The sequence below is a fragment of the Homo sapiens genome, chromosome 1, assembly GCF_000001405.40.
Source record: "Homo sapiens chromosome 1, GRCh38.p14 Primary Assembly".
NCBI lineage: Eukaryota > Metazoa > Chordata > Mammalia > Primates > Hominidae > Homo > Homo sapiens.
Window position 1 is genome coordinate 66,983,519 of NC_000001.11, and position 26,132 is coordinate 67,009,650.

General features: G+C 38.7%; 2 protein-coding genes across 36 annotated transcripts in view, besides 3 other annotated features; one reads left to right on the forward strand and one right to left on the reverse strand.

Annotated features, from left to right (window-relative positions):
* MIER1 (MIER1 transcriptional regulator) overlaps positions 1-5,101 on the forward strand; it is a 63,630-nt gene extending 58,529 nt beyond the window's left edge. For 23 of the 28 annotated variants that reach the window (NM_001146110.2, NM_001350530.2, NM_020948.4 and 20 more), the window contains one exon: positions 1,054-5,101. In NM_001146110.2, the coding sequence (NP_001139582.1) occupies positions 1,054-1,382 (329 nt within the window). In that variant the 3' untranslated portion in view covers positions 1,383-5,101. The remainder of the gene's footprint in view (positions 1-1,053) is intronic. The other 5 variants (NM_001077702.3, NM_001077703.3, NM_001146113.2 and 2 more) reach the window with 2 other exon arrangements.
* Positions 1-26,132, reverse strand: part of SLC35D1 (solute carrier family 35 member D1) — an 81,173-nt gene that overhangs the window by 10,543 nt on the left and 44,498 nt on the right. For 2 of the 8 annotated variants that reach the window (XM_047415660.1, XM_006710478.3), the window contains 3 exons: positions 25,567-25,649; positions 20,798-20,930; positions 15,860-20,500 (listed from right to left, as the gene is read on the reverse strand). In XM_047415660.1, coding sequence (XP_047271616.1) covers positions 20,822-20,930; positions 25,567-25,649 — 192 coding nt within the window. In that variant the 3' untranslated portion in view covers positions 15,860-20,500; positions 20,798-20,821. Of the gene's footprint in view, positions 1-15,831; positions 24,930-25,566; positions 25,650-26,132 lie in introns of those variants that run through there. The other 6 variants (XM_047415662.1, XM_047415665.1, NM_015139.3 and 3 more) reach the window with 5 other exon arrangements.
* Positions 1,018-1,067: a silencer, noted in NCBI's record as "silent region_975". NCBI's record gives its function as "represses an Ori minimal core promoter by ATAC-STARR-seq in GM12878 lymphoblastoid cells {active_cell/tissue: GM12878}" and the evidence as "EXISTENCE:reporter gene assay evidence [ECO:0000049][PMID:35858748]".
* Positions 1,055-1,255: a silencer, noted in NCBI's record as "peak274 fragment used in MPRA reporter construct". NCBI's record gives its function as "represses an SCP1 promoter by STARR-seq MPRAs in K562 erythroleukemia cells {active_cell/tissue: K562}" and the evidence as "EXISTENCE:reporter gene assay evidence [ECO:0000049][PMID:32103011]".
* Positions 17,415-17,615: a silencer, noted in NCBI's record as "peak275 fragment used in MPRA reporter construct". NCBI's record gives its function as "represses an SCP1 promoter by STARR-seq MPRAs in K562 erythroleukemia cells {active_cell/tissue: K562}" and the evidence as "EXISTENCE:reporter gene assay evidence [ECO:0000049][PMID:32103011]".

Consider the following 26,132-nt stretch of genomic DNA (forward strand, 5'->3'; position numbering starts at 1 on the left):
CTCTAAAATGAACTTTTGTTTTCTTTTATTAGAATAATTTTGCTTTTACTTTTCTCACCTACTATAGAATTTGTATTTACTTTTTAAGTAATTTGTATTTACTTAAGTAAATAATTTAGCACTTTCAAGTATATGCTTGGATAGTGCGGCATTAGTTTTTTAACATTATGACAGATTATTTAAGTCTACTTAGGTAAATAGTGTGTGATCATCTTTTTTTTCTTTTTGAGACAGAGTCTCGCTTTGTCGCCCAGGCTGGAATGCAGTGGCACAATCTCGGCTCACTGCAACCTCCGCCTCCTGGGTTCAAGTGATTCTGCTGCCTCAGCCTTCCGAGTAGCTGGGAGACGGTGCACGCCACCACTCCTGGCTAATTTTTGTATTTTTAGTAGAGACAAGTTTTCACCCTATTGGCCAGGCTGGTCTTGAACTCCTGACCTCATGATACACCCGCCTTGGCCTCCCAAAGTGCTGGGAATACAGGCGTGAGCCACTGCACCCAGCCTTGTGTGATCTTTTAAAGTACAGTTCCCATAGATTTACATTAAGAATAAAAAAGTCATGACATCTTGCTTTTATATGGCAGTTTACTCAAGCTTTTTAAAGAAAGAGCATTCATCTTGCTTTTACGTGGTTTTAGAATGTTGAAAACCTTTTGTTAAATCTGAGTAATTTACTGCATTTTCCATTAATTCAGCTTAGTTAGACTGCTGGATCCAGTGCTTGTTTGCTGTCACATATACCTAATATGCTTTTAACATATGCCAAATTCTGTTCTTAGTTCTTTACATTTATTAACTTATTTAATTTTCACAACAACCCTGTGAGGAATATCTATTATGATCTTCATTGTATATATGTAATGAAATGGAGATACAGAAAGAGTAAATAATTTGCCTAAGGCGACATAGCTTATAAGTAATAGAGCAAGAATTTAGACTATGTATTTGATACCTTGCTTCCTTGATAACAATAACTACAAGCTGTTTTATAATAGTTTGCAAATTTAACTTTTTTCTAATTGTGGTTTCATTTATATTTCTTTCAACTTAGGAGTGTCATCTAATGGACCAGGTGAAATATTAAACAAAGAGGAAGTAAAAGTTGAAGGGTTACACATTAATGGACCAACAGGTGGAAATAAGAAACCACTTCATGCAGATATGGATACTAATGGTTATGAAACAGATAACCTTACCACTGACCCAAAACTTGCCCATATGACTGCAAGAAATGAAAATGATTTTGATGAAAAAAGTGAGAGACCTGCCAAAAGGCGAAGGGTAAACAGCAATGGAAAAGAAAGTCCAGGTTCTTCTGAATTTTTCCAAGAAGCAGTCTCACATGGGAAATTTGAAGAACTTGAAAACACAGATGACTAAATTTTAGACCTATTTTACTTTCTTTGGAGTAAATTCTGGTGTGACTAAAATTTTCAGGGTTGATGGGTTACCTTAAAAAGTTGATTTCCTTGAAGCAGTTTGAAAATTTGAATTGAGTCTTAACTTTAGGAAATGAGGTTTCATAATTCTGCCTTTTGCAGATTTTTTTACTTTAAAGCTGTCAGACTCTTTTAAGGGTATTTTAAAAATTAGTAAATTTGAATGAACTAAAGATATATCTCTACCTTCTCATTTGAATATCTTTAGTTCATTCAGATTTACTAATTTTGGTAAATCTGAATGAACTAAAGATGTATCTGTACCTTCTCATTTGATGTATTAATCATAAAATTTCACTACAAGGTAATTTTTGCTTAGTTTGATGGATGAATGGGAAACTCAAGTCCAAATTTCTGCTTAATACCAATTTCTCTGAGTTTCTTGAAATGTCTTTAAAACAGACATTTTTCTCACCAAACAGTTTGAGTATCTTTATTAAGGAAACCCTTACGAATCCTGAAAATTATGCTAGCATGATTTTTTTATATATAGAAGTTTAAAAATAAACCAGGTCAGGTTTGTATATGTAAAATTGTTGACATCAATGATGTCTTTCCATATTCTTATCTGGGCTTAAGAAATACATTCTGTATTTTTCCAGATTCTTTGTAGCCTTTGAAAGATTTTTACAGTACATATGTCTTGACTGAGCTGTCCTTTCTTAATACAAAAGCGTGTATAATTTTCTTAACTTGTACAGTTGGTAAACTTTTATGAGAGGAATTGTTATTCTGAGTCTGTCAGCTTTCATTTTATTTTGCTAAGGTTTTTCTAATGAATTTTTAAGTGTTTGTGTAGTAATTAAGTCATATTTCTTATCCAGGTGGTTAAAGCATTCATAAAGGATTATAAAATTTTTTTTTTTTTTTTTTTTTTTAAATTTCTACTTAAGGGCAAGTAATTTGAGAATTCTGAAATTAAGCATGATGCTTAGATTGCAGTTTGTTTTGCATTTGCTATAATTTTCAAAATTATTTTTGAAGCAAGACAAAAGTTTAATGTCAGCTTAAGTGCTTAAATATATCATGCTGACCAGAATCCTGTTATTTTTATATGCATCATAAAATTTCCCATTTCTGCATTAAATAAACAGAGGAGGGGGGTCAAGTGATACTTAGATATTGGCACACACAAGGAACAACTGTTGGCAGGCAGTATCGATTTTATGAAGAGAAAGTGAAGTTTGAAAACTTTTCAAACTTTTCTAGTTACAATCCAATTTTTCAGATTTGATAATGCTTTTCCAAAGTGAAAATAAGATACACAATAATCATTGCTCTGTGTGATTACAGATAGGATTATCCATCTGCATAGCCTTGTAAAAGTGCCATTTTATTTTTAGTGCTAAATTCTTGTTAAATAATGTAGTTTTATATAGCTGATAGACCAACCTATATCCAAACTTTTATAAAATATTAATTATTCTTGTTTTTCTCACACAGGCATACTCCAAATGCTTCTTCCAGTTCATTTTTCAGCCATCAGTTCAAGAGCCAATGCCTTTTTAAAATAAAGCTTCTGTGGTCTTGTTTTTAATGGCTCAACTGTCTGATGTAATTGAGTGAAGGTTTGCACTGAGAAATTAGCATTCAGGCCTTACCCCCATGAAGTATTACTGTTAACATATGTTCGGACTGCTTCCCTTCACCAATGTGAACAACTTTTTTTCCCAAACAGTGTTAAAAGCCACTTTGCAACACTTGACTTCATCTTAATGTACATTCACTGTTGTTACATACATATCTAAGTAAATCAAAGTTTTGGGTGGAAGTGTTGAGAAGTATGAGTTTTTTGTTGTTTTTGTTTTACTTAAAACTTTTAATTTATCCAGAATGGCAGTAGCTTTAGCAAGCAGATGGTCACAATCTGTTTTCTAAATCATTTTTTATTAAATGAATCCAAAGTATCCTAGCTCTTTGTCAAAGATGGTCTGTAGAAATGTTTTTAAAGATTAGGGATGCTGTACTTTTTGAATTGTTGCAGTGTTGGAGATGCCATTTTCACCTTTTTAAAAAGATGCATTTTATTTGCAGGTTTGTGAAGTTCTTGCAAACTCTTACTACAGAAATGTTTTAAATACATTCTCAGGCATGTTTGCAAAAATATGGCACATGTATACATTTTAGGAAATGTTACTTTTGTTAATCTTTAAAAAATACACCTAATGAAAGACATTCCACTATTATGCGTAATGCTCAGCTTTTTGTAAAGAAATATTTAATTGTATTTTGTGTTTATACAGGTATTTCACACAATAATTTGTTCTTAATGCAGCCACTATAACTTGATAAGTCATTGCACTATTTAAAAAGTTTTAGTAATATCATGAATTTAATTTGCTTAAGATTTAGTACATTTCAGAACTTTTGAACTTTTGACAAATTGCATTGGAAAAAGAAGTCTGTTAATAGTGATTTAGTCTCCCCGCCTCATTCCCACCCCCAACAAAGCACTATCATTTTCATTTGGAATGGGTATTTTCTGTTTCATGATGTATTTTCAAATAGAGTTCAGGATCTGCAATTCAGTTCAACACAAGTTTGTTGAGCTTTAAAATGTATTTGAAGTAATATTTAAATAGGCATTTAAAATTTCAAATTAGATGTTAAATTTATGCATAGTAATTTTGCACTGTAAAATAATTCCCTTCTCCCATTCCTTGTCTGCCATTCTGAATATGCTTATTAAAATATTTTTTTAAACATATTTGCCTACATAATACTGTGTGAATATTTTCATTAGATTAATTCACTAAGATTTTATTAGAGATTGTTTGAATGATGCATGTTATTGACAAGGCAAATATATATATATACACAGTCTGTTTCTTCTATTCCTAGACATATTGCACTACTTTTTCAGTGGTTCTTGGTCCCCTTTACCACATCTTGGGTGATGTATTTTTGTCTTCTTCCCCTTTGCCACAAGAGATCCTTTCAGTCCCTAGACCTCCATTCACTCTGTTTCTCTTCTGCTGGATTATATAATTTAAAAATAATGTGTTCCCGTATTTTGTAGTGGAGTTCATATCACATTATGTTTTGCAAAATAAAACTTGTTTTGTCACAATATTTTCTTTGCTATCGATGGATAATTAGGAGTGGGCACTTGGAATAACTGAGGGCTGGTGAATATAATAGGCAATATTTACATGGGGTGTGTAACTAAATACCAAATCAGATAGTAAGGTTTTCCCAACTATAATCCATATTCATGAAAAATGCCAGTGTGGAAAACCATGTAACATACAGAAGAACAGGAGTTTCCAAATTTTAACCTTTTATTCTAAAAATGACTCTCTTCTCTCAAAATGACTTTTTCTGTATCACATAATTCTACTGATACAACTTTTTACCGTAAAAATTAACTCTCTTCTTTAATATCAAGTTCATCCTTTGCAGAATCTTAAAGGGTTTTCCACACATCCATCCACCCACTTACAGACTGATTTCATGTATCTGAATATCTGATTAACCTTTCTTTTCTAATACCAGTTTTCCATAAACTCTTGTCATGTACCCTTAGTATTGTGCTGATCTTTTGCCAACTATACGGACGTGGAGTTTTTCCTTTTCAGAATATGATTATTTTCAATTTGTCTTTAGTTAGTATAAAGAATTATAGAATGTATAATGTAATTAAAATGTCATTTTGCTTGCTCTTGAGTAAGAAGTAATTTGAACACACTTTTAAAGGCTACTTATTCTGTGAAGAATATTGAAGAATTGCCATGTAAACGAGATGAGATGGATTCTAATTGTCCAAATTGATGGTGACAGTTTCACATTTAAATGTCAATGATGACAAGCTTTCATTATGTTTCCATATACTCTAATATCCAGCAAATATTTCGGCCTATACTTGTACCAGGTACTATGCTTGCTTGGCTTGTGGCTTCAGAGATGCGGCATGCCCTGTTCTTCAAGAAGGCAGCAAAGTGTTAATGGTAGAAAAGTAAAGTGTATTCTGAGTACAGAGACAGCAAAAAGAGGAATAGGCACGATCTCAAGAAAATGAGTTTACCTTCCTCTTTGCCATGTAAGTCTAGCTAAATATTTTTCTTTTGTCAAACTTCGTATTTGCTGGAAATTAACCAACATGAAATGCATGATTTTCCCTAAGAAATTTTGTCTTTTAAAAAAAAAATTTCCTGCAGAGCTGGTTCTACCATAACAGCAGCTGTGGATTATTTAGGACTCATCCCTTTTTTCTTGTCATTCACTGTTCCATGAGCACTACTATTTATTAGGTGGAGAATCGCCTGATTTTCTGAAGTTTGGAAGAGAGGACGCCTAATGCAAATTTGGCCTGGTTATAGAACATTCACTTTTTGGTATTCTCATCGTTGTTAACATGAATGGTTGACTGAATGTAGAGCTGGCTGTGTTGTTCTGCACACTGACTGGAATTTGTAGAGTTCAGGTAGTTCTAAAATAAATGGTTTCACTCAGCAAAGTTAGATGATCCCTGAAATTGACTTTGGATTAATATGAGGAATATATAAACTTCTAAAAAATTATTTGAGACGGTCTCAGTTGGCTGCGTAGGCTGGAGTGCAGTGGCAAGATCATGGCTCACTGCAGCCTTGACCTCCTTGGGCGCAGGTAATCCTCCCACCTCAGCCTCCTGAGTGGCTGGGTTTACAGTTGTGCACCACCATGCTCAGCTAATTTTTTTTATTATTTGTAGAGGTGAGGTCTCACTATGTTGCCCCGGCCACTCTGGAAATCCTGGGCTCGAGTGATCCTCCCGCCTCAGCCTCCCAGTGTTGGGATTACAGGCGTGAGCCACCATGTCTGAGCTTAAACATTTTTAAAAAGAAAACATACGGGCCTTAAATTGGGGGTGGTTTCTTCCAGAAACAAGATCAGGTAGAGAACTGCATCAGAATAGATTGATCTGAGCCACTTTAAATTCTTGACCAGAAAATCTAGATTTAGGTTAAGAGCTTGTTCCCAAGAGGGGCTTTTCAAATTCCTTAGTCTACTCTTGTCACCAGCTGTGCTTTAGCTGAGTGAACATGAGAAACTAGTTCTGCTTAGGAGCTAATAGTGGTGCCAGTCATTCTAAGTGTATCCTTTTTTATTATTTTTGAAAGGTACTCCCTTAATCCCCTCTAAGCACATATTTGTACATGACAGAAATTTACTTGGGTGGCTGGTGGTTTTGAGCTTTCAAACATCCTGAATTATAAGCTTTATGAACTGCTCTGCTGTGTGGCCTCCTTTGTTGTCTTATGCATTTGCCTCTAGTGTTTAGTAGACAAATGTTTGCATTTAAAAAACACACCATGAACATACGTGGACTACATCTGCAATTTTTCTTTTTTCCGGAGACAACGTCTTGCTCTGTTGCCCATGCTGGAGTGCAGTGGTATGATCACTGCTCACTGCAGCCTCAACCTCTCTGACTGAAGGGAATCCTCCCACCTCAGCCTCCCAAGTGGCTGGGACAGGTGTGCGCCACCACGCCCTAATTTTTATTTTTTTGTAGACAGGGTTTTGCTGTGTTGCCAGGGCTAGTCTCAAACTCCTGGGTTCAAGCAATCCGCCTGCCCCAGCCTCCCAAAGTGTTGGGATTACAGGTGTGACCACCACACCTGGCCACAAAATTCTTGTAGCTAGTGCTAGTAGGTTAGAATAAAACAACTCACTTAGGATTGCAGCAGATGGGAGTTGTAGTAGAACCTTTGAAAACAATGATACCAGTTTTGGCAAAGGGATCTATTTTCGTGTATATGTATAGTTAGTTAGGAAAAGTAATGAAGGTCATATGCCAAAAGTAACGGTTGTTTTTGAGTGGTGGACTTAGAGTGGCCAGACCCCCTTATTAAAGAAGTCTCATAGCACTTGTCCCAGGTGCCATTTGGTTTTGCATGACTATTTCCCCCTCCGACAGTAAGCCTCCTGAAGGGGAGGGTCGAGTCTGTTTTCCTCACCATCATACACCCACATCCAAGCACAGTGCCTCTTCCCTTACTCACTGAACATATTAGCATATAGGTTATAGCATAGCCTATAATCATTTGTCTCTCCTGCTTAGGGCCTAACTCTGGCTACTCTTTCCAGTGATTGTTCTATTCTGCCTTTGGGGATACATCCTGAGTTGCCCTTTGTACCGCTGCCATTCTTCACTTCCATCTGAGTAGTAGTATAAACGTGTTTTCATCCAGTTACTGCATCACTGGTAGAGGGTACCATTTTACTTGCTTTTTGGGGGAGCTCCGACTCTAGGATTTTTGAAAACTTTTCTTTCTTCAAAGGGTTGCCTGGTTAAATTATGGAAAACAGCATCTCCCATTGCTTGTGTAATCCTATACCTACACATTCTCCCACTCTAAAGCCTGTTGATTTGGGGGAGGCTGGGGAGAAGAGAAGAAACAATTACATAGATGTCAGTGACCACATTGCTAGCCTGAGTCCCAGTTGCCCTCTGGGTTCCACAGAGAGTCACAGTCCCATTTTTGTGGCATGAATACTAGCAGTATCAGAGCCCTTTATTTCCATCCCTAAAGTTTGTCAAAAAGTCAACTCATCACCTATGTGACAAACTTAGGAAGTGTTTCTGAACCACTGTCATTTATATCCATGCTAGTCTTCACAAGGTATATCCTGTAAGTTCGATGGGGAAAGCAGTAGATTCATCTGATGCTTGGAGCCACATTAATGTTTATTAGTCCTTCTAACTATTCCAGAACGAGGAGTGAAAGCCCACAGTACCTGGCCTTGCATTTCCTTATCTCCAACTATATCTCCTATTGTTCCTCCATTTCAACCAAGGGATAGCCTAAAATATTATTTTATTCAGAATCCTCCCAATCAAAATATTTACAGCTTTTTTTTTTATATCATACCACCTTTTTCCATACCCACTCATCCAAATTCAGCCACGTTTCAAGATTTCTCCTCTTCATCTGGCCGTTACTGTATAATCTGTGGTAAGCAAAACCTCTAAACTGGCCATCTGTAAAATAAGGATGATACCAATGTGCCAGTAGGTCTGTTGAGATTATAAATGGGATACCTTAAAGGGAAAATATTTTGTCCCTAGAGAGTGCTGGCTAATGATCAGGTAGGTAATAGTACAGGTCTACAATCCCTTATCCAAAACCCTTGTGACTAGCGGTATTTCAAAACACATCACAGCACATTCTCGAACAAACCTATGGCTGGATATATGGCCACAATAAAATGTATTGACATGAATTTCAGGTCAGATTTTGTAGCCAAATTCGACAAGAAAAAGCTTGGTTTTCAGAGCCCTGTGGATTTCAGAACTGCAAACTTGTAGTGGCTTTCAAATTTTTGCTGGTGCTCACTTGGCAGCTGGTCCCAACTGCCTTTACTTTCTACATAACTGGCAGAGACAAATTAGCAGGTGCACTCTAACCTGTATAGCAGCAACAACAGAACCTTGCACACTCTGAGCCTTCTGCAGAGCAACCGGAAGCCTATAAATGAAGCCGGTGAGTGAGAATAGGCTGCCAAAGCCCAGATGCGGTCCTTCTGGAATCTCTCACTCAATCCTCTTGTCTTACAGAAGGGAAAATCCAAGGCAGAAAATGGAAAAATGACTTGTCCGAGGTTCAACAACTTTAGACTGAGCTGCTTTGACAATGTCGGATGCCTGTATCCTTTTCCTTCATGGCACTGAATGGCTCACACGTATTCATGGCTAGAGCCATGGGCTTAACCCTTGTCCAGTCAATCCCGATGGCCAGAAAAGTAGGATACTATTAGCTACGCTTTACCCAACTTGTCTTTGCGGTTAGGCAGGTAGGTCTTCATCATAAGATGGCAGCACCCTTTGGGTTTATTTGGCTACAACAGTTGGGGAAGATGCATTCCCTCAAAAGGAAAATAGGCTGGTCACAGAGAAAGACTATTAGGCAGATAAAACAAGTCTATTGCAAATATTATCTACCATTGTTAAGTGATTGCTATTAAAAGCACAGCACTAATTATAAAACAATCTTCACAACGTTATTTTCCCCAATTTACAAATAAAACTGAGCTACCTTGAGAAGTTGTAAGACTTGCTCTTTCCAATGATCTGGATTTTACCTATTTTTCTAAGTCAGGTCTTTGTGTTTAGGGAAGATGTGTGTTGTAGAATAGAAAACATGTTGCTTGCAAACAATCTTTCTCCTAGCTTTTTCCCACAACTCTGAACTCTAGAAAAGAGAAATTCCCCCAGCTGGAAAAAAGACGTTAGTAGGCTCTGAGAATGGCAGGAATGTGAGCTTCATTCTCTAGAAAGACATCAGAGGAATAACTACATGGAGTACAAAACAGGTTGGACTCTACGCACTGGAACTTCCAGTAGTAGAAACTATTACCAGGGCAAAGTTTGCAATTTGTTGTACCATCTGCCTTCAAAGGACACCTTAGAGTTGGTCACTAAGGAGTTCAGCAGTGACCATGATGGACTGAAGACAAGAGTCCCTCTTGTATCTTCTGCGCACAGGCAATTCTCCTGGATCTTGTGTAACCTTAGCAAAGAACTGGGACTGAATTTCCCGGTAGGTGGCAAGATGGGGACTCAGATATATTTTGATATAAAATAATATGTACTGTGACATTTCTTTCACCCTCAAACATCATATACTTTACTGCTTGTTCTAGGAAGCTCCATGACCTCAGAGAAAAAGATAGGCTTTACAGAAAGGCAAATTTATATTCTAAGCAAAGACTGTCTCACAAATACCACTGTCCAACAATGAAACTTTCCCATGCTTGTTTCACCTCTAAAACAACACTAGGACTAACTTTAAAGGATTGTTTAGAGGATTAAAATGTGTCAATACACAAGGTGCTAAAAAAAAATGTGTAGCATGTAAAAATGGCTCAATAAATGTATTTTTACTGTGGTATAGCAGGCACTCTGTTTCTTGCTACACTTCAAATATTACCTTTTTGGAAAACTCTTGGAAACATAAGTTAGTCACCTCAAAGACGTTCCTCCTGCTTTTATACTCGGAAAGCATTGAGGTTAGGTGAAAGTACACCATTATGTTTTGTAAGTGAAAATAATTGGATCAAAACTTACTGGCTTACCTAAAATGCAGGACAATCAGCATTCTTGTAGATCAAAATCAGCTTTAAAAACATTTAGGTTTGCAAGCATGCATGCTTAGATGTTCATTAGGTCATGGGATGGCCATGTCCAGCACTGGACTCTCAGCCCTAGCACAGGTGGGCCATGAGCCCTTCGGGAAAGGTTCCGTTCACCTGACGACTCCGGTGAGATGATTAGTTTCACCGTCAGTGTCACATGGCCATCTTAAGTCTACTTTGTCACTATTAGCGCTGCAGCACCCTGAGAACTGCCAGTTTGATCCAGAGAGAAGCTGAACTCATAATTCTGATGGCTGATGAAAACAATAAGATATTAAGAAATCCAGGCCAGGCACAGTGGCTCATGCCTGTAATCCTAGCAGTCTGGGAGGCCGAGGCGGGTGATCACTTGAGGTCAGGAGTTCGAGACCAGCCTGGCCAACATGATGAAACCCTGTCTCTACTAAAAATACAAAAACTAGCCAGACGTGGTGGCACAAGCCTGTAGCCCCAGCTCCTCGGGAGGCTGAGGCAAGAGAATCACTTGAACTCGGGAGGCAGAGGTTGCAGTGAGCCGAGATCGCGCCACTGCACTCCAGCCTGGGCGACAGAGCGAGACTCTGTCTCAAAAAGAAAAAAAAAAGAAAAAAAATCCAAAGTGATAATGGGTGAAGTCTATTCAGCATCCTACAGTGGATTATTAAATTTTTAAATCTTAGTTGAGGAAACAGGTGTTTCAAATAATGTTCTGGAAACTATCAGGAAACCTGTTTTCAATATAGGCCTCAAGTTTTAATTAAGTATTTAAGGTGGTTTCTTGAAAATAATTAAATAAAATGCTTAATTAAAAAAATGTTCCCAAAGTTAAAATGGTCTCCTGAAGACACACATTTAGGCAAAAAAAGAAAAAAAAAAAAAAAGAAGAAACAACTTTAAAAAAAAGAGAAACAGTCTTATCACCTGTTAATTATAATTCCTAAAATAACTCAAATCCCTTTTCTTTTCTATGTAAAAAGAAACAACTGTACTTTAGGACCTCATCATTCTCACTAGCACAACAGCCTGCTCTATCTGATGCATTCACCTCCAGTTCTGCCCTTCCGTGATCCCCACCTGACAGTCATCCACGCAGCAATCCCAGTGATCCTGTCATAGTGCAAATCTCATCTGTAGTAGTTCAACTTAGTCACGCTGGTAGCCAGTGGGCTAAGTCTAGCTGGCAGATTTTTTGTTTTATTTCAATGCCTTTGAGCAGGTATGTACCCCAAGCCCCACCATTCACTCTAGGCATTCACACCTGGCCCCTGTGAGACATCTGAATTTGCCAACCTCTGACCTACAGTATACAATCCAAATACTGCAGCTGGTGTGATCTTTCTAAAACGCAAATGAGGCCATGCTTCTGCCCTGCTACGCTAAAAAAAAAAAAAAAAAAAAAAAAAAAAAAAAAAAAAAAAAAAAAAAAACAGACCAAAACCTCTGTCTTCATAGAGCTTGAAGTGCTATGGGGATGAAATAAGGGAGAGAAGAGAACATGGTGTGGTGAGGGCAGGGGAGCCTATTTCAGATAGGCTGGTCAAGGAAGACCCACAGAGATGAGGGGACGTACTATAACGAAAGATGCACTCCAATCAAGGAGTGGGACAGAGGCCCTAGAAGGTGGGTGGGCTGTCCCCGCCAGTATTTTCTCAGGCAAATCCTAGTTGTTTTTCAGGAATCAGCTCAAATGCCATTTCTCCAAGGAAACCTTTCCTACCATTCCCAGGTGGAATGAAATTCCTCCTCCCATACATTCATATGCATATCTCAGCTATACTTTCATAATTCTGTCATCATTTGTGAACATTGTCCTCAAAAATATTCACCGAAAAAAATTATCTGAAGGATAAATAGGCAGATATGATAAAGCACTCTTGATGAAACCCTCCTATTTCTTTCTCTAACAACGAGGGATGGTATATGAAATATATTCTTCAGAAAGAAAGGGGTTTTGAAATCAAAGTCCAGGTTTACATTTCTCATGTGAGTGAAGTTGGACAAATTCCTTAGCCTGGCTAAAGCCACCATTTATGCACCAGTAAAGTGCTGGAAGGACCAAATATGAGAAGGCACATTTTAGCCCGAACCCAGTGAAAACACATAGTCGGCCCTCAGTAAATACTGCTTTTCCTTCCTCTTAAACTGCTTTCCATCATTTAGCTGCCAAAAGCAGGTGTTGCCACAAGAGGGCACTTTTAGCACAGCTGGAAAAGCATAGCTGCTTTGCCTTCTCAGATTAAACCAGCCACCATCTCATGCTTAAGCTTTAAATCCACAGTGGGTGAACAATGAATGAAAAATAACATTTGACAAGTATAGAGCGGTGATGAGTTTGGTACTGCCAAGTCTATTACAGACAGACTTAAGAGAAACGAGAACCTAGCATGGTGGCGAAGAGCAAGGGTGTTTGAAGTCAGACTGATGGGGGTTTGAATGCGGGTTCCCTGACCACACCGGGCAAGTGTGCCTCTCTGAGCTTCACCTGTAGATGCCAGGCCTCTAGTAGAGGATGGGTGCTGGCCCCAGTGAACTCAGTCTGGCTTGATGGATGGATGAACCAATGTATACATAGGCCCCAAGTGATGAGAACTGTAGGAAAGAAGAATTGAAGTTACCTGGTAAATGCTGACCCACTGTGGGTACACAATGGCACTAGCTCTGTGCTTTCTCCTCTGAGCAGTGCATCATCTATAGCGTTGCCCAATACTGACAGCCTATGCTTCAAGGAAGCCAAGTGAGACAAGAAGCTATCAAAAAGATGAATTCTAACTTCAACAAATTAGAAAAAAATCAGACTCTAAGAGGGTTTTTTAAAGTTGATTAAAACACATGTGTTAAGGACAATCTCTTCAACAAATGGTGTTGGGAAAATGAAATATCCACATGCAAAAGAATGAAGTTGGACCCTTACTTTACAACATATACAGAAATTCACTCAAAATGTATTCAAGATCTAAATTTAAGACGTAAAATTATAAAACTCACATTGGATTTGGCAGCATATCTTGGATATGCCACCAAAAGCACAGGCAACAAGAGTAGAAGTAAATAACTGGACTACATACAAATTTAGAACTTTGCTGTGCATCAAAGTCAATGGATATAATCAAAGGAGTGAAAAGGTAACCTGTGGAATGACAGAAAGTATTTGCAAATAACATATCTGATAAAGGGGCTGGGCACAGCACCTTACACCTGGAATCTTAGCATTTTGGGAGACCCAGGCAGGCAGATTGCTTGAGCCCAGGAGTTTGAGACCAGCCTGGACAGCAATAGCAAAACCCCGTCTCTACAAAAAAATTAGCTGGGTGTGGTGGTATGCACCTCTACTCCGCTACTCAGGAGGCTAGGGTAGGAGAATTTCTTGAGCCCAGGAAATTGAGGCTGCAGTGAGCTGTGATCATGCCACTGCACTCCAGCCTGGGTGACAGAGTGAGACCCTGTGTTAAAAAAAAAAAAAAAAAATATATATATATATATATAACCCCTTTAGATATAGATATATCTGTGTGTGTATATATATACACACACAGATATAGAGATGTATAAAGATGTATCTGTATATATATGCAGATACCCTATATCTAAAGGGGTTAAATATGTATTTACAACATATACAGAAATCAAAAATATATTCAAGATCTAAAGACATAAAATTACAAAATTCTTAGAAAACAGGAGGAAAGCTGTTAAATATATATATATCCTTAAATATATATATTAATTTAATAATATAAATATTGTTATTTATATATTATATGTTACTGTTAAAAAAATATATATATATCTCCTTAGACATATATATCTAAGGGGGTTAAAATCCAGAATATAAAGAATTCTTACAACTAAACATCACCTCAAGCATATGAAAAGATGCTCAACATCACTAATCATTAGGAAAATACAAATCAAAACCAGAACAAGATTATCATATCACATCCATTAGGACGGCTACAATCTGAAAAACAGAAAATAACAAGTGTTGGTGAGGATGTGGAGAAACTGGAACCCTTGTGCACTCTTGGTGGGATTCTAAAATGGGCCAGCCATAATGGAAAAGTCTAGTGGTTTCTCAAAAAAATTAGAATTACCATATGATACAGCAATTTCACTTCTGAGTATATACCCAAAAGAAAAGTAAGTGGGATCTTGGCTGGGCACAGTGGCTCATGCCTGTAATTCCAACACTTTGGGAGTCGGAGGCAGGTGGATCACCTGAGGTCAGGAGTTCGAGACCAGCCTGACCAACATGATGAAAACCCGTCTCTACTAAAAATATAAAAATTAGATGGGCGTGGTGGTGCATGCCTGTAATCCCAGTCACTCCAGAGGCTAAGGCAGGAGAATCGCTTGAACCCGGGAAGTAGATAGAGGTTGCAGTGAGCCAAGATGGTGCCACTGCACTCCAGCCTGGGCAACAAGAGTGAAACTCCGTCTAAAAAAACACACACAAAAAAGTGGGATCTTGAAAAGTATTTGTACACCCATGTTCATAGCAGGATTATTCACAATAGCCAAGAGGTAGAAGCAACCCAAGTACCCATCAACCAAAGGCTGGATAAACAAAATGGTACACATACAATGGAATATTATTCAGACTTAAGAAGGAAGGAAATTCTGACATATGTTACACAACATGGAATAACATCAAGGGCGTTATGCTATGTGAAATAAGCCAGCCACAAAAAGACAAATATGGTACGATTCCACTTATATAAAATACCTAGTGTAGTCAAATTCATAGAAACATAAAGAATGGTGGTTATCGATGACTGAGGTGAGGGGAAAATGGTGAGTTTCTGTTTAATGGGTATGGAGTTTTAATTTTGCAAGGAAATGTTCTGGAGATTGGTTGAACAACAATGTGAATATATGTAACACTACTAAACTGTATGCTTAAAAATGTCTAAGATGGTATATTTTATGTGTATTTTACCACAATCTTTTTCTTTAAAAAAGGTTTAATATGCTTCTCCCTCTGACACACCTTAATGTGCTTCCACCTCTGCTGAGTCTGCTTGTACCAAAATGCCTCTACTTGATGAGTAAAGCTACTCAGGAGCTTGGAAACCTGATAATGCAGTTGAAATACCCTGAAAACAGAAAGATTAGCACTTCCTTCCTTCTAATTTACCACAAGTATGCCACAAGACACTGGATATTCAGTCATACATACTATTCATAAAAGCATTTGTATATAAAACAGTATTTTCTACATATGGAGTCTCAATCACCTAACAGGATGCCAACCTCTAAAATATGGGCAGACTTCTGGCTCTGGATTAGTCTCTGTATGCAGTTACAAAGGAATTTTAATACTTGTTTTCAGGAAAAAGTATTTATTTTACACCATTACAAAAATATTTAGGCACATAATTTTCATGTTTATGTCACCTGATTTACATACCTCAATTCCTCAGTACCTTTTAACACTAAAAATGGTCATTTGGTAAATAGACTCTAAAATGAAAAAATACTGTGAGAAGCTAACACCTGTAGACAAAAATCAGTTGATCATCAGCATGAGAAAGAAAACATTTGTGAAAAAAATAATCTCTAAAAACATTTTTGTGAGACAATAAATCTAACCAGTAGATTTCTTTTTAAAAAGTATTTTTAAAGAACAAAGCTTTAAAAAAAAAAAAACTACAACACTGTAAACTATATCCTCATGCCATGAAGCAGCATCCTGAAAGTAAGACCTAGAAGACTGGCTTAGAAAACAGTAATGGTGCCAGGGACTCACAATATATGACAACTGAGACAGGCCTGGAAGCAGGGGCAGCATGGGGTCAAGTGCTTTCAATTCAGAGAGGGGAAAAGGAACGCTGGCCTTTCCAGGAGCCATCTAAAGGTAAAAACTGAGAAAGATTTAACTGAATTGACATTCTAAAATGTAACTATGTTTCTTTAAGATAGAAAATAATTTTCCTGGCCGGACATGTGGCACACACCTGTAATCCCAGCACTTTGGGAGGCTGAGACAGAAGGGTTACTTGAGGCCAGGAGTTTGAGACCAGTCTGGCAACAGAGTGAGACCCTGTCTTTACCAGAAAAAAAAAAAAAAAGGAAGAAACGAGCCAGGCGTAATGGCACATGCCTATAGTCGTAGCTACTTAGCAGGCTAAGGCAGGAGGATCACTTGAGCCTAGGAGTTTGAGACTGTGGTGAGCTGCTATGATTACGCCATTACACTCCAGCCTGGCTGGCGACAGAGCAAGACCTTCTTTCTTTTTTTTTTTTTTTTTTAAAAAAAAGGAGGGGGAGTAGGGGGAAGAAAATAATTTTCCTTTATTAAAATGTACTGTCACAATATAAAAGAAATTTTGTTCTTTTTAAAAAATAGGTAGAATCACCTGCATCATGTAATGGCCGTAATTGTGTCCAGCAGATATTTTTAAAAAAGAAAAGACAGTGAACAGAAACTGCTACCTAAGGATTCTAGAGGCAATGAGACACAGAGTCCTGTTTTTCAGGACAGACCGTATTGCCCAAGCCTCTAGCATTTACGGAGCATAAATTAAGAATCTTGTTTTGCCTTGAGTCTCACCATGAAATAATGACACGGTAGCCACATTTGCTGAGGGCCTAATATGTACCAGGCATTGTGCTAAGTAGTTTCATATCCATGTCTCATTTATTCCGAACTTTTTTCCTCAGGGAGAGAAAAATCAATTACAGTCTTGTTCATAGGAAAAACCAAACTTACAATTTTGGGAAAGCAAGAACATGTACAGTAGAGGAGGAGGCCTCAAGCTACTTACAGAATTCTAAGAGCTGTGTTGCTATCTCAGAGCTAGAAGATTAACTAATATGAGTTACAAAAGTCCTCTCGGATTAAAAAAATGCTTTAGCTCTGTGGGGCGTCCCTAAAATCAGTGATACTCATAACCATGCAGGCAGCTCTTGGTTACAAAATCACGGACTCCTTTCATCTGTCTCCTTTCTCCCACTCAGGGTCCAGGTTTCCATATCTGGCTAAAGAATTACACACTCCTTGAAAGCAAGAACCATGTCTTGTTTATCTTTTTTCCAGAGCTTAGCAAAATACTTGGCATACAAGAGCTGCTCACTAAGTCTTTGCTCACTGAACGAGGCTATCAAGTAAGGCAGGCCCAAAGTCCTGGGGTGCCATTTCAAACCAACTCAATGTGAAACTCCACTGTTTCTCCGTGAGGATCCTGCACCAGCTGTACTGACCAAAACCCTCCATGGATTCTTGATAAAACAGGACTACCAAAAGCGTGTAAATGCACTTTTTAAAAAAAAAAACTAGGTGCAAACTGGAGCCTACAAATGATTGACTCATAAAGTCCACAGCCACATGAGGCAATTAAAACTCAACGGGACATGCTGGCAATGTGTAGCCTGGCCAACTAGGGTTATTCCAATCCATTTAGCCTTGACTAGAAGCAGATTGGCCAAAGAGGGTCTCACTTACATTGAACAGGAGACACTAGTCATAGAATTTGTCTTTTGGAATACCACAGCTCATCTGTCTCAGTGGGCAAATTAAGGATTTAACTCTGTATTGCCTCTTTTTCTCCCAGGAGGCAGTTAACAGGACAAAGAATTTCTGCCTAGTAAATATCAAACATGGGGCAAAAACCAGACTTTCTGGGAGGTGCCACAGTACCAGGTAAATCACCAGTATATTGTAACACGCCTGCAATAATCAAAACGCAAACTCCAAAAGACTATTCAGTCTCCAGCTTGTTCACCCTGCTCCATCTTGCAATGCTGGTTAGTGGCTGAAGGATGCATCCAGGAAGCAGAACACAGACAGGGCAAAGTTGCTGTACTGCTCTGGTCAGCCAGAAGTTTCAGCATAAGCCAGGGCTCCCAAGGCACAGAAGCCTGTCACGTGCATTTAGTGAAGCTGTAACTACACAATGTTCTCAAATACTCCTGAAGAGGTGACAGATCTCCTAGGGAACCTGACCCCCAAGAGGCAGTTCAACTCCTGGTGGGGCTCTAGCCCAACACCTGTTAAAGACACCCAAAAGCCTTTCATGAAGAAATATTCTACAACAAAAATTATTCAAACGTCCCTCCTTCATGTTGCTGACAGAAAGAACAGAATCACTAAAAATAGCTCTCACTATGCCCTTTCACTGTACCTAAGCAAAACCAGGAAGTGTTGGCAACATTTACAGCCAGAAGTGCATTATCAACTAAAGTCAGCCTGGAAGTGGGATAAGGGTTCCAGGACAGGGTAAGCTGTCACTCTTCCTGATTTGCAAAGTATGCTCCTCTCTGACACCAAATTCAATCAACTGCTTGCTTTTTTGAAAGTGCTCAAGTGAACTCAGGATCTGTTTCCTTACTCCCTCAGAGGGGAAGGGCGGTTAATTAAATGGCAGCATAGTTCAATAAAAAGGACATGGGTTTGATGTATTAGCAAGTCATCTTTCTCTGAGTTTTGTTTTCTCATTGGTAAAATAGGGAGAGTAAGACCCATATGACACAAGATACTATCCTTTACTCCCAGTGGAATTTTCTCAGGTCAGAAGATGCTAGAAAAAAGTGAGTCTAAGGCTCTTAATGAAGCTTGTAACTTGGGAGTTGGTTGCAGGGATAATTCTAGGGACACAGCACCACCAGCCAAGCTTTAGTAAAGACAAACCAAAAGACAGGAATATGAAAATGATCTCAATATAAATTTGCATATCAAAAAAAATCAAAACCCTAACTGTTTAGGTCAACAGAGTCCAGTGGATTCCAAACCCAATGAAATAGACACTGGTGTGTGCATTAGTGCAAAGGTACCAAATCTCTTGCACACTGGCTGTACAACTGGCCTGAGCAAACACACTAATCCTCAAAGTCAATGGATATCTCTGAGTCAAGTCATAGGGTTATGTTTGAGTTAACACCTCCACCCTCCAGATTACCCCAAGAGGCAATTTAGGCAGTGCCCATTCACAGCTGCTCTCCCAAAATGCAGCATTGGTTTTGAGAGAAGTTGGCAAGCTCAGTAGGTGAGCCAAGGGGCACATGATGTAGGTGAGAATGTTGAAAGGAGGGAAGTTTGCTCATTGCTCATGCCATTTAAGAAGGAAGATGATAGCTCTAACACTGACACTGCCAGAGAAAAACCAACCATTGACAATACAAAGACGTCTAACCAGCCTTTCCCCTCAAACCAATAAATTCAGAAATGTGGGACCTCATCATATTCATCCAAAGAGCAACCAAACCCAAAGGAAGGTGGCAAGGGAAAACAGACTTGCCTGTCTGCAATTTTCACTTAGAGAGGGAGTCAATGCTGAGCTGCACTGGTTTACAAAACACAGCTCTTTACTTGTACCTCATCTCACATTGCAGCATTTGGATTCACACTATTGCCGGGTAGGTAGGGCAGGTGTTCTTAATCCAATTTACAGATTTGCGGCTTTTGAGTGCTGAAACAACTTACTCTTAGTGACATCTTCTGAATAGATTAACAGAGCTAAATTCTCAACCTTACCTGAGTCACTATGGCAGGAGTGAGATGTTTCAACTACCTCTGCAAACATCTCTGTATCCCCAGCATTTAGCACAATGCCTGGCACATATACTTAAAACATTTTAGTTGAATCAATAAGTCAAATAGATGAAAAATTAGTAAAAGGCCTACTTTCTCACCCCCTTCATTATCCCCATTCTACACAACAAAAAAAGAACATGTTTTCAAGGAATGCACTCTGCTCATCCTATGAAAGTCAGGGAAGCCAACATAGATAGCAATACACTTCAAAGCCCCACATATTTTTATAGTGCCAAAGTTGTTTTCCTTGGCAAATGGAATGATGATATGATGAAGACAATGCAATCATAAGAAATAAGATTCAAAGAAGAGAAATTTCACATATTCGTCTGCATTTCCAGCAGAGGAAAGGCTAAACTGCCTCCAGATGCAGCAACAATTTGAATGATGAAGCTCCAGTTGGCAAACATTACATATGCAGCTCTCAGGGACACCTGGATATCAAATTATGAAATAAAATACTTTCAAAACACTGATGTTTCACTGTCGGCATATAAGAAAAATAAATTAAAAAGCCCAGTACCTTTTCCAGTCTGATATAAATTAATTCAAACAACATATTTAAAATAGAGTCAATTATAAGTTTCTCTCTTCATAAAATTTTAAAAGGCAGCAATCAATCCTCAGATTGTACAAGTGCAAAGGAATGGTTATTTCCTCCATAATCAAGACACCTCAGTGTCTCTGTAGGAACTGCCAGTGTTCTGAGTTGATTAAAAACTTAGGCCTACGTATCAGATGAAGCAATCCTCTGGTCACACTGCTCCTTTCCCCTTAATGTCCAGCTTGTTATTAGCCTCTGACTGTTTGCTCAGCTGCTCTTCAGTGAAAGTGATATAGGAATATACCAGGCTCCCAGCAATGCTGCAAAACAGAAAGCCACTATCAGAGATGGAGGAAGGGAGGGTTTTAGTGTAAACACTCTACTCAGTAAAAAAACTTACACCAAAAAATTAGATGAAGAGTAAAGTTTCACAGTGGGGAAATTCATACAATGAAGTACTATGCATCCATTAAAATGGTATAAAATATAAACAGGCATTGACACATTAAATTTTGTAAGACAGCTTAAATTTTTATGAGAAAATATATCATAAAACATCAAGCATTGTCTAATCCCATTTTATTTAAATGAACATGAGTATGTATATCAATATGCACTGGAATAGACAAAAGTCTGTAAGGAACACACCAAGAATATTAACAGTGGTTACAGCTGGATGCTGACATTACAGGTAAATTTTTACTTGTATTTTTTTGCATTTCGAAAAATAGGCATTAATAGGAAACATCCCAAATTAGTTAAATATGCAGACCCTAGGAGATTCACAGAGCTGATTTTTCTCTGACTAAAAGCAAGTTCACAGTGGGGAACTTATCATCTGGGCCGTCAGCCTATGACAGGTGGTTGCTGGTACCCCTCACTTATCCATCGCACCTACCACCAGGAAGGATCCCTCTTTGGTGACAATGATTACTTGGTCCATTCTCTGTGGGGACCTCAAACTCACCTAGGATACGCAGCCTCCTACCCGATTCACTAAGTGGAAAGTAGTCTGGAGGAGCTCACAGATCCGACCACTCCTGCCCTGTCCTCCCTGGCTCTTCCACTGAGACTGCCACCCAGGACTCCCTTGGATTCCAGCCAGCTGGATGCCTGACCTGGGCGCCAATTCTTCTGCCCTGGTTTTGGCCCTCATCTTCTGCCTAACCACTTGACTCATGAACTTGCTGCTTATTTGAAATTAGTTCTGTTCTCTGGGCTCTGACATCAGCCCCAGACCAGCTGCAGAAGGGTGAGAGACGCCTAGCTCTTGTTCCCACTAGGAAGAAAGCAGGATCAGGCACTGGCGCTTGTTCTTTACTGCACACGCTCGCATAATACTAGCCATTCTCTGAGACTCCAATCAACCCAAAATAAAGCCTTTTCCAATTTAACCTTCCCAACCAGATTCTTCCTTTTCCTCATCTGCACCTCACGGCACTTAAGAGCAATCAAATTATTAAAGTCTACTTGTCAAGCATTTTACATACATTTCCTGTTTTTGCAATATTCCTGCAAGGTACAATATCCCTCCAAGGTGTCCATTTTATAGATGAGGAAAGTCCCAGAGTCATAAGATAAATTGCTCAGGGTCACAAAGCATCCTACTGATGGGCCAGAATACAACCTAGGTCAGTCTTTCTCCACTCCAACTGCTGCCTCCCTTATGACCCTTGTGCCACTGAATACTAGTTATCCATCCTCACTCTGTCCTTATCATCTTGTTAATTTCCCACGGCCTTAATTCTTTTAGCTGTACAGAGTCTCTTGCAATTGGCCTGACACTTTTTAGCAACACAATAAGTAACTGCTGAACTGAGTATCCCCTATCACCCCACTTGAGGAAAGGGGGCCTCATGAACCCAATTCTTACACTTTTTATTGTCTTTCCCCCCCTTTCTGTGGAAAATGGGGTCTCGCTATATTGCCCAGGCAGGTCGTGAACTCCTGGGCTCAAGCTATCCTCCCGCCTCTACCTCCCTAAGAGCTAGGATTACAGGTGTGAGCCACCGCGCCTAGCATGAACCCAATTCTTATGCCAATGTTCATAGAGCTTCATCTTTTCCTTCATCCAGCAGCTTTTTCCCATTTAATTTTTTCTGGAATTTGATATGACTCTCCTAGAAACTTTTCTGGTTTTTCTAGTCCCTCAAGTAGACTACTTCCCTGGTAGCTGGCCTGGACCCAAGAAGATGGCTTACTGAAGTCTTTTTTGACTGAAGCTAAAAGTTCTTTAAGGTTCACATGTACGTCCACCCACATGACAGTCAATTTCCCTTTGCCTCCAAACCCACCCCAAAACAAAGTAGAAGGGCTACCTCTCCTTTCTTTCATCCTACCTTCCTCTAGCTTCGCCTTCCCACAACAGCCTAAAAAATAAAAATGCTTTCTTATTTTTCCTGTTAAGATGATCTTTGATGTTCACATTAATCCTATTTAAACTGGATAGGAATACTGGGGAAGCACAGGATAGAAGAAGACAAAGAATGTCCTGTAATTTATTCCAGGCTTAGCCCTAATGATAATTCCAGACCCTATATTCCCAGCATAGTCAGTGTATTGGAAAAAACACTGACTCTACGGTTAGGTCTTGGTTCAAATCCTGAATGTACTCTAGGTTGAGTATCTCTTATCTAAAATGCTTGGGACCAGAAGGGTTTCCAATTTCAAATTTTGGAATATCTGCATTATACTCACCAGTCAAGCATCCAAATCTCAAATCTGAAATGTTCCAAAGAACATTTCCTTTGATCATCCTGTTATCATTCAAAAATTCCAGATTTTGGAGCATTTTGGATCACAGATGTTCAATCTACACTAGCTATGTGACCCTGGGCAAATTAATTAATCCATTTCTGTATTCATCAAATAAGAATAATGTTATCTATCTAAGCTTGTCTGAGGATTAAATGAGATTACACGGATAATCTTCTCTTCATTCTCTTCTCCCCTACCTTCCCTGTCAGCCCTGACACTCAGAACCAGAGGGGAGATGTACTGCTGACAAAAGGTAAGGTACTATAATTATAAACGTCTTACTCCATTTGGGTTGCTATAACAAAATACCATAAATGGTGGCTTATAAACAACAGAAATTTATTTCTCACAGTCCTAGAGGCTGGGGAGTCTAAGATCAAGGCAGGTTCAATGTCTAGAGAGGGCTCTCTGGTTCACAGACAGTATCTTCTCATCATGCTCTGGGATCTCTTACATAAGGGCACTAATCTCATTCATGAGGATGCCAATTCCATGACCTAATCACCTCCCAAAGCCCTACCTCCTAATACCATGACTTTGGGAGTTGAGAGTTCAACAAACTGGGGGAACACAAACATTCAGACCATAGAGCAAGGAATGTAACATTATGAAAGAGGGGGCACACTATTGCCACATGGTTGTAACTTGAGGCAACAATAAAATATATTTAATTTCATCTTTATTACTGACTCGATCATTATCAAATATAGATTTTCGGAAAGGGCAATTCATGAACCACCTGAAGAGAACTGAATATTCATCAACGAGCATACTATGTGTTACGCAGTGATGAGTAAACGCTTTGGAAAGGAACTATAATTTGCTCTCTAGCAGCTTTGGGGAAGGGGAAAACTAGAAGGAAGGGAAAGGGAAAATGAGGAAAAGCCCAGATTTGAAGGGGAGAGGGGTTATATCTGACTTTTTATACAACACTACCAAATGATTCTAAATCAGGATCTTCTACTACTTCAAACAGAGACCCTTTAACTAATCTATTGGCCCCATAAATATTCACATTAAAGTTGATACCTTCTAGTACTATGAAATTGGTGTTAATACATTAGATCATCCTAAATATTCATTTTTTAAAAGTAGAACTCCTGGTATTAGTACTGGTCAACAAGATTTTCTTTTAAAAAGTTAAAACATGCATATTGAAAATAAGGTACAGTCATTATGCAAGCCTAAGTTTATGCCTTTTAAAAAATTTTCAAGCAATTTTCCATCTGTCTAATCTTCAAACAACAGCACTACCAACTGTTTTATTTTGTTGGGACGGAGTCTCACTCTGTTGCCAGGCTGGAGTGCAGCGGCGCAATCTCGGATCACTGCAACCTCCGCCTCCTGGGTTCAAGCGATTCTCCTGCCTCAGCCTCCCGAGCAGCTGGGACTACAGGTGCCTGCCACCACATCCAGCTAATTTTTGTATTTTTAGTAGAGACGGGGTATCACCATGTTGGCCAGGGTGGTCTTGATCTCTTGACCTTGTGATCTGCCCGCCTCAGCCTCCCAAAGTGGCACTACCAACTCTTAACTCACAGAGACCTCTGTGGCAGATACAGCTGGGAGACACCAGAAAAAAAAGACAAAGTTACAGTTCCTGAGACAGGGGCCTTGTTAGAATACTGCAAATCTGAATGGAACGTGCCGAACTGCTTCCAAATCTATTGAATCTACTAAATCTACTTTATCTGCTCTGATCCACTTTTGATCTTCAAAAGCAAGGCAAACACAGTCTACTTCTCCTAAACCTACAGTCATGGACATATTCATTAGCCCCCGACAATGAGATACCCATTCCAAAAATATACACTAAAAATGCTTTCAATATAGCAACCCTGTGGCCAGGGAACAACAGTCCTAATGTCCACCACCACGCCCAGGTAATTTTGTCATTTTTTTTGTAGAGACGGGGTTTCACAACATTGCCCAGACTAGTCTCAAACTCCTGGGCTCAAGCAATCTGTCCACCTCAGCCTCCCAAAGTGTTGGGATTATAGGTATAAGCCATTATGCCCAACCTCTCCCTGCTTCTTAAAAAGCATTATGTAGAGACATTAAATATGTAGCACATAGAAGGCACTCCACATATGTTTAATAATGAATAAATGTTCCATTAATTTAATAGCCTAACCTTATTGTGACACTATTTGAATATCCAATTCCGATTTTGCAATTTAATTAAATATTTTTACTTACCTGATATTTAAACCAATGAAGTTTGTCCACGTGAAAATATAATCTCCACCAAAGACCATTCCAATATAAGTTATTAATATATTCTAAAAATAAAAATAGTAATATACTGTTATATAGGTTTAACTGAGCTTCTTAAATATATATAAAACTCATCCAAATATCTGTCCTTAAAATACAAAAACAAATAAACAAAAGACAAACAATGAAAACGCACCAACCCTAATAATAGTATAAGGAAGAACACTATTAAGGAATCAGTGACATTAGCCTCTTCCCAATCGATTTCTCCAGAAGATAAATGCTTTTGCCAATACTGAAGAATACTACCAACAGAATGGGAGAAAATATTCACAAACTATGCATTGGACAAAGGTCTAATATCCAGAATTGATAAGCAACCTAATTCAACAAACACAACCCCATTAGAAAATGGGAAAAGGACATGAACAGATATTTCTCAAAAGAAAACATACATGCAGCAAACAAATATAGGAAAAAAGGCTCATCACCAATCATCAGAGAAATACAAATCAAAACCACAATGTGATACCATCTCATACCAGTCA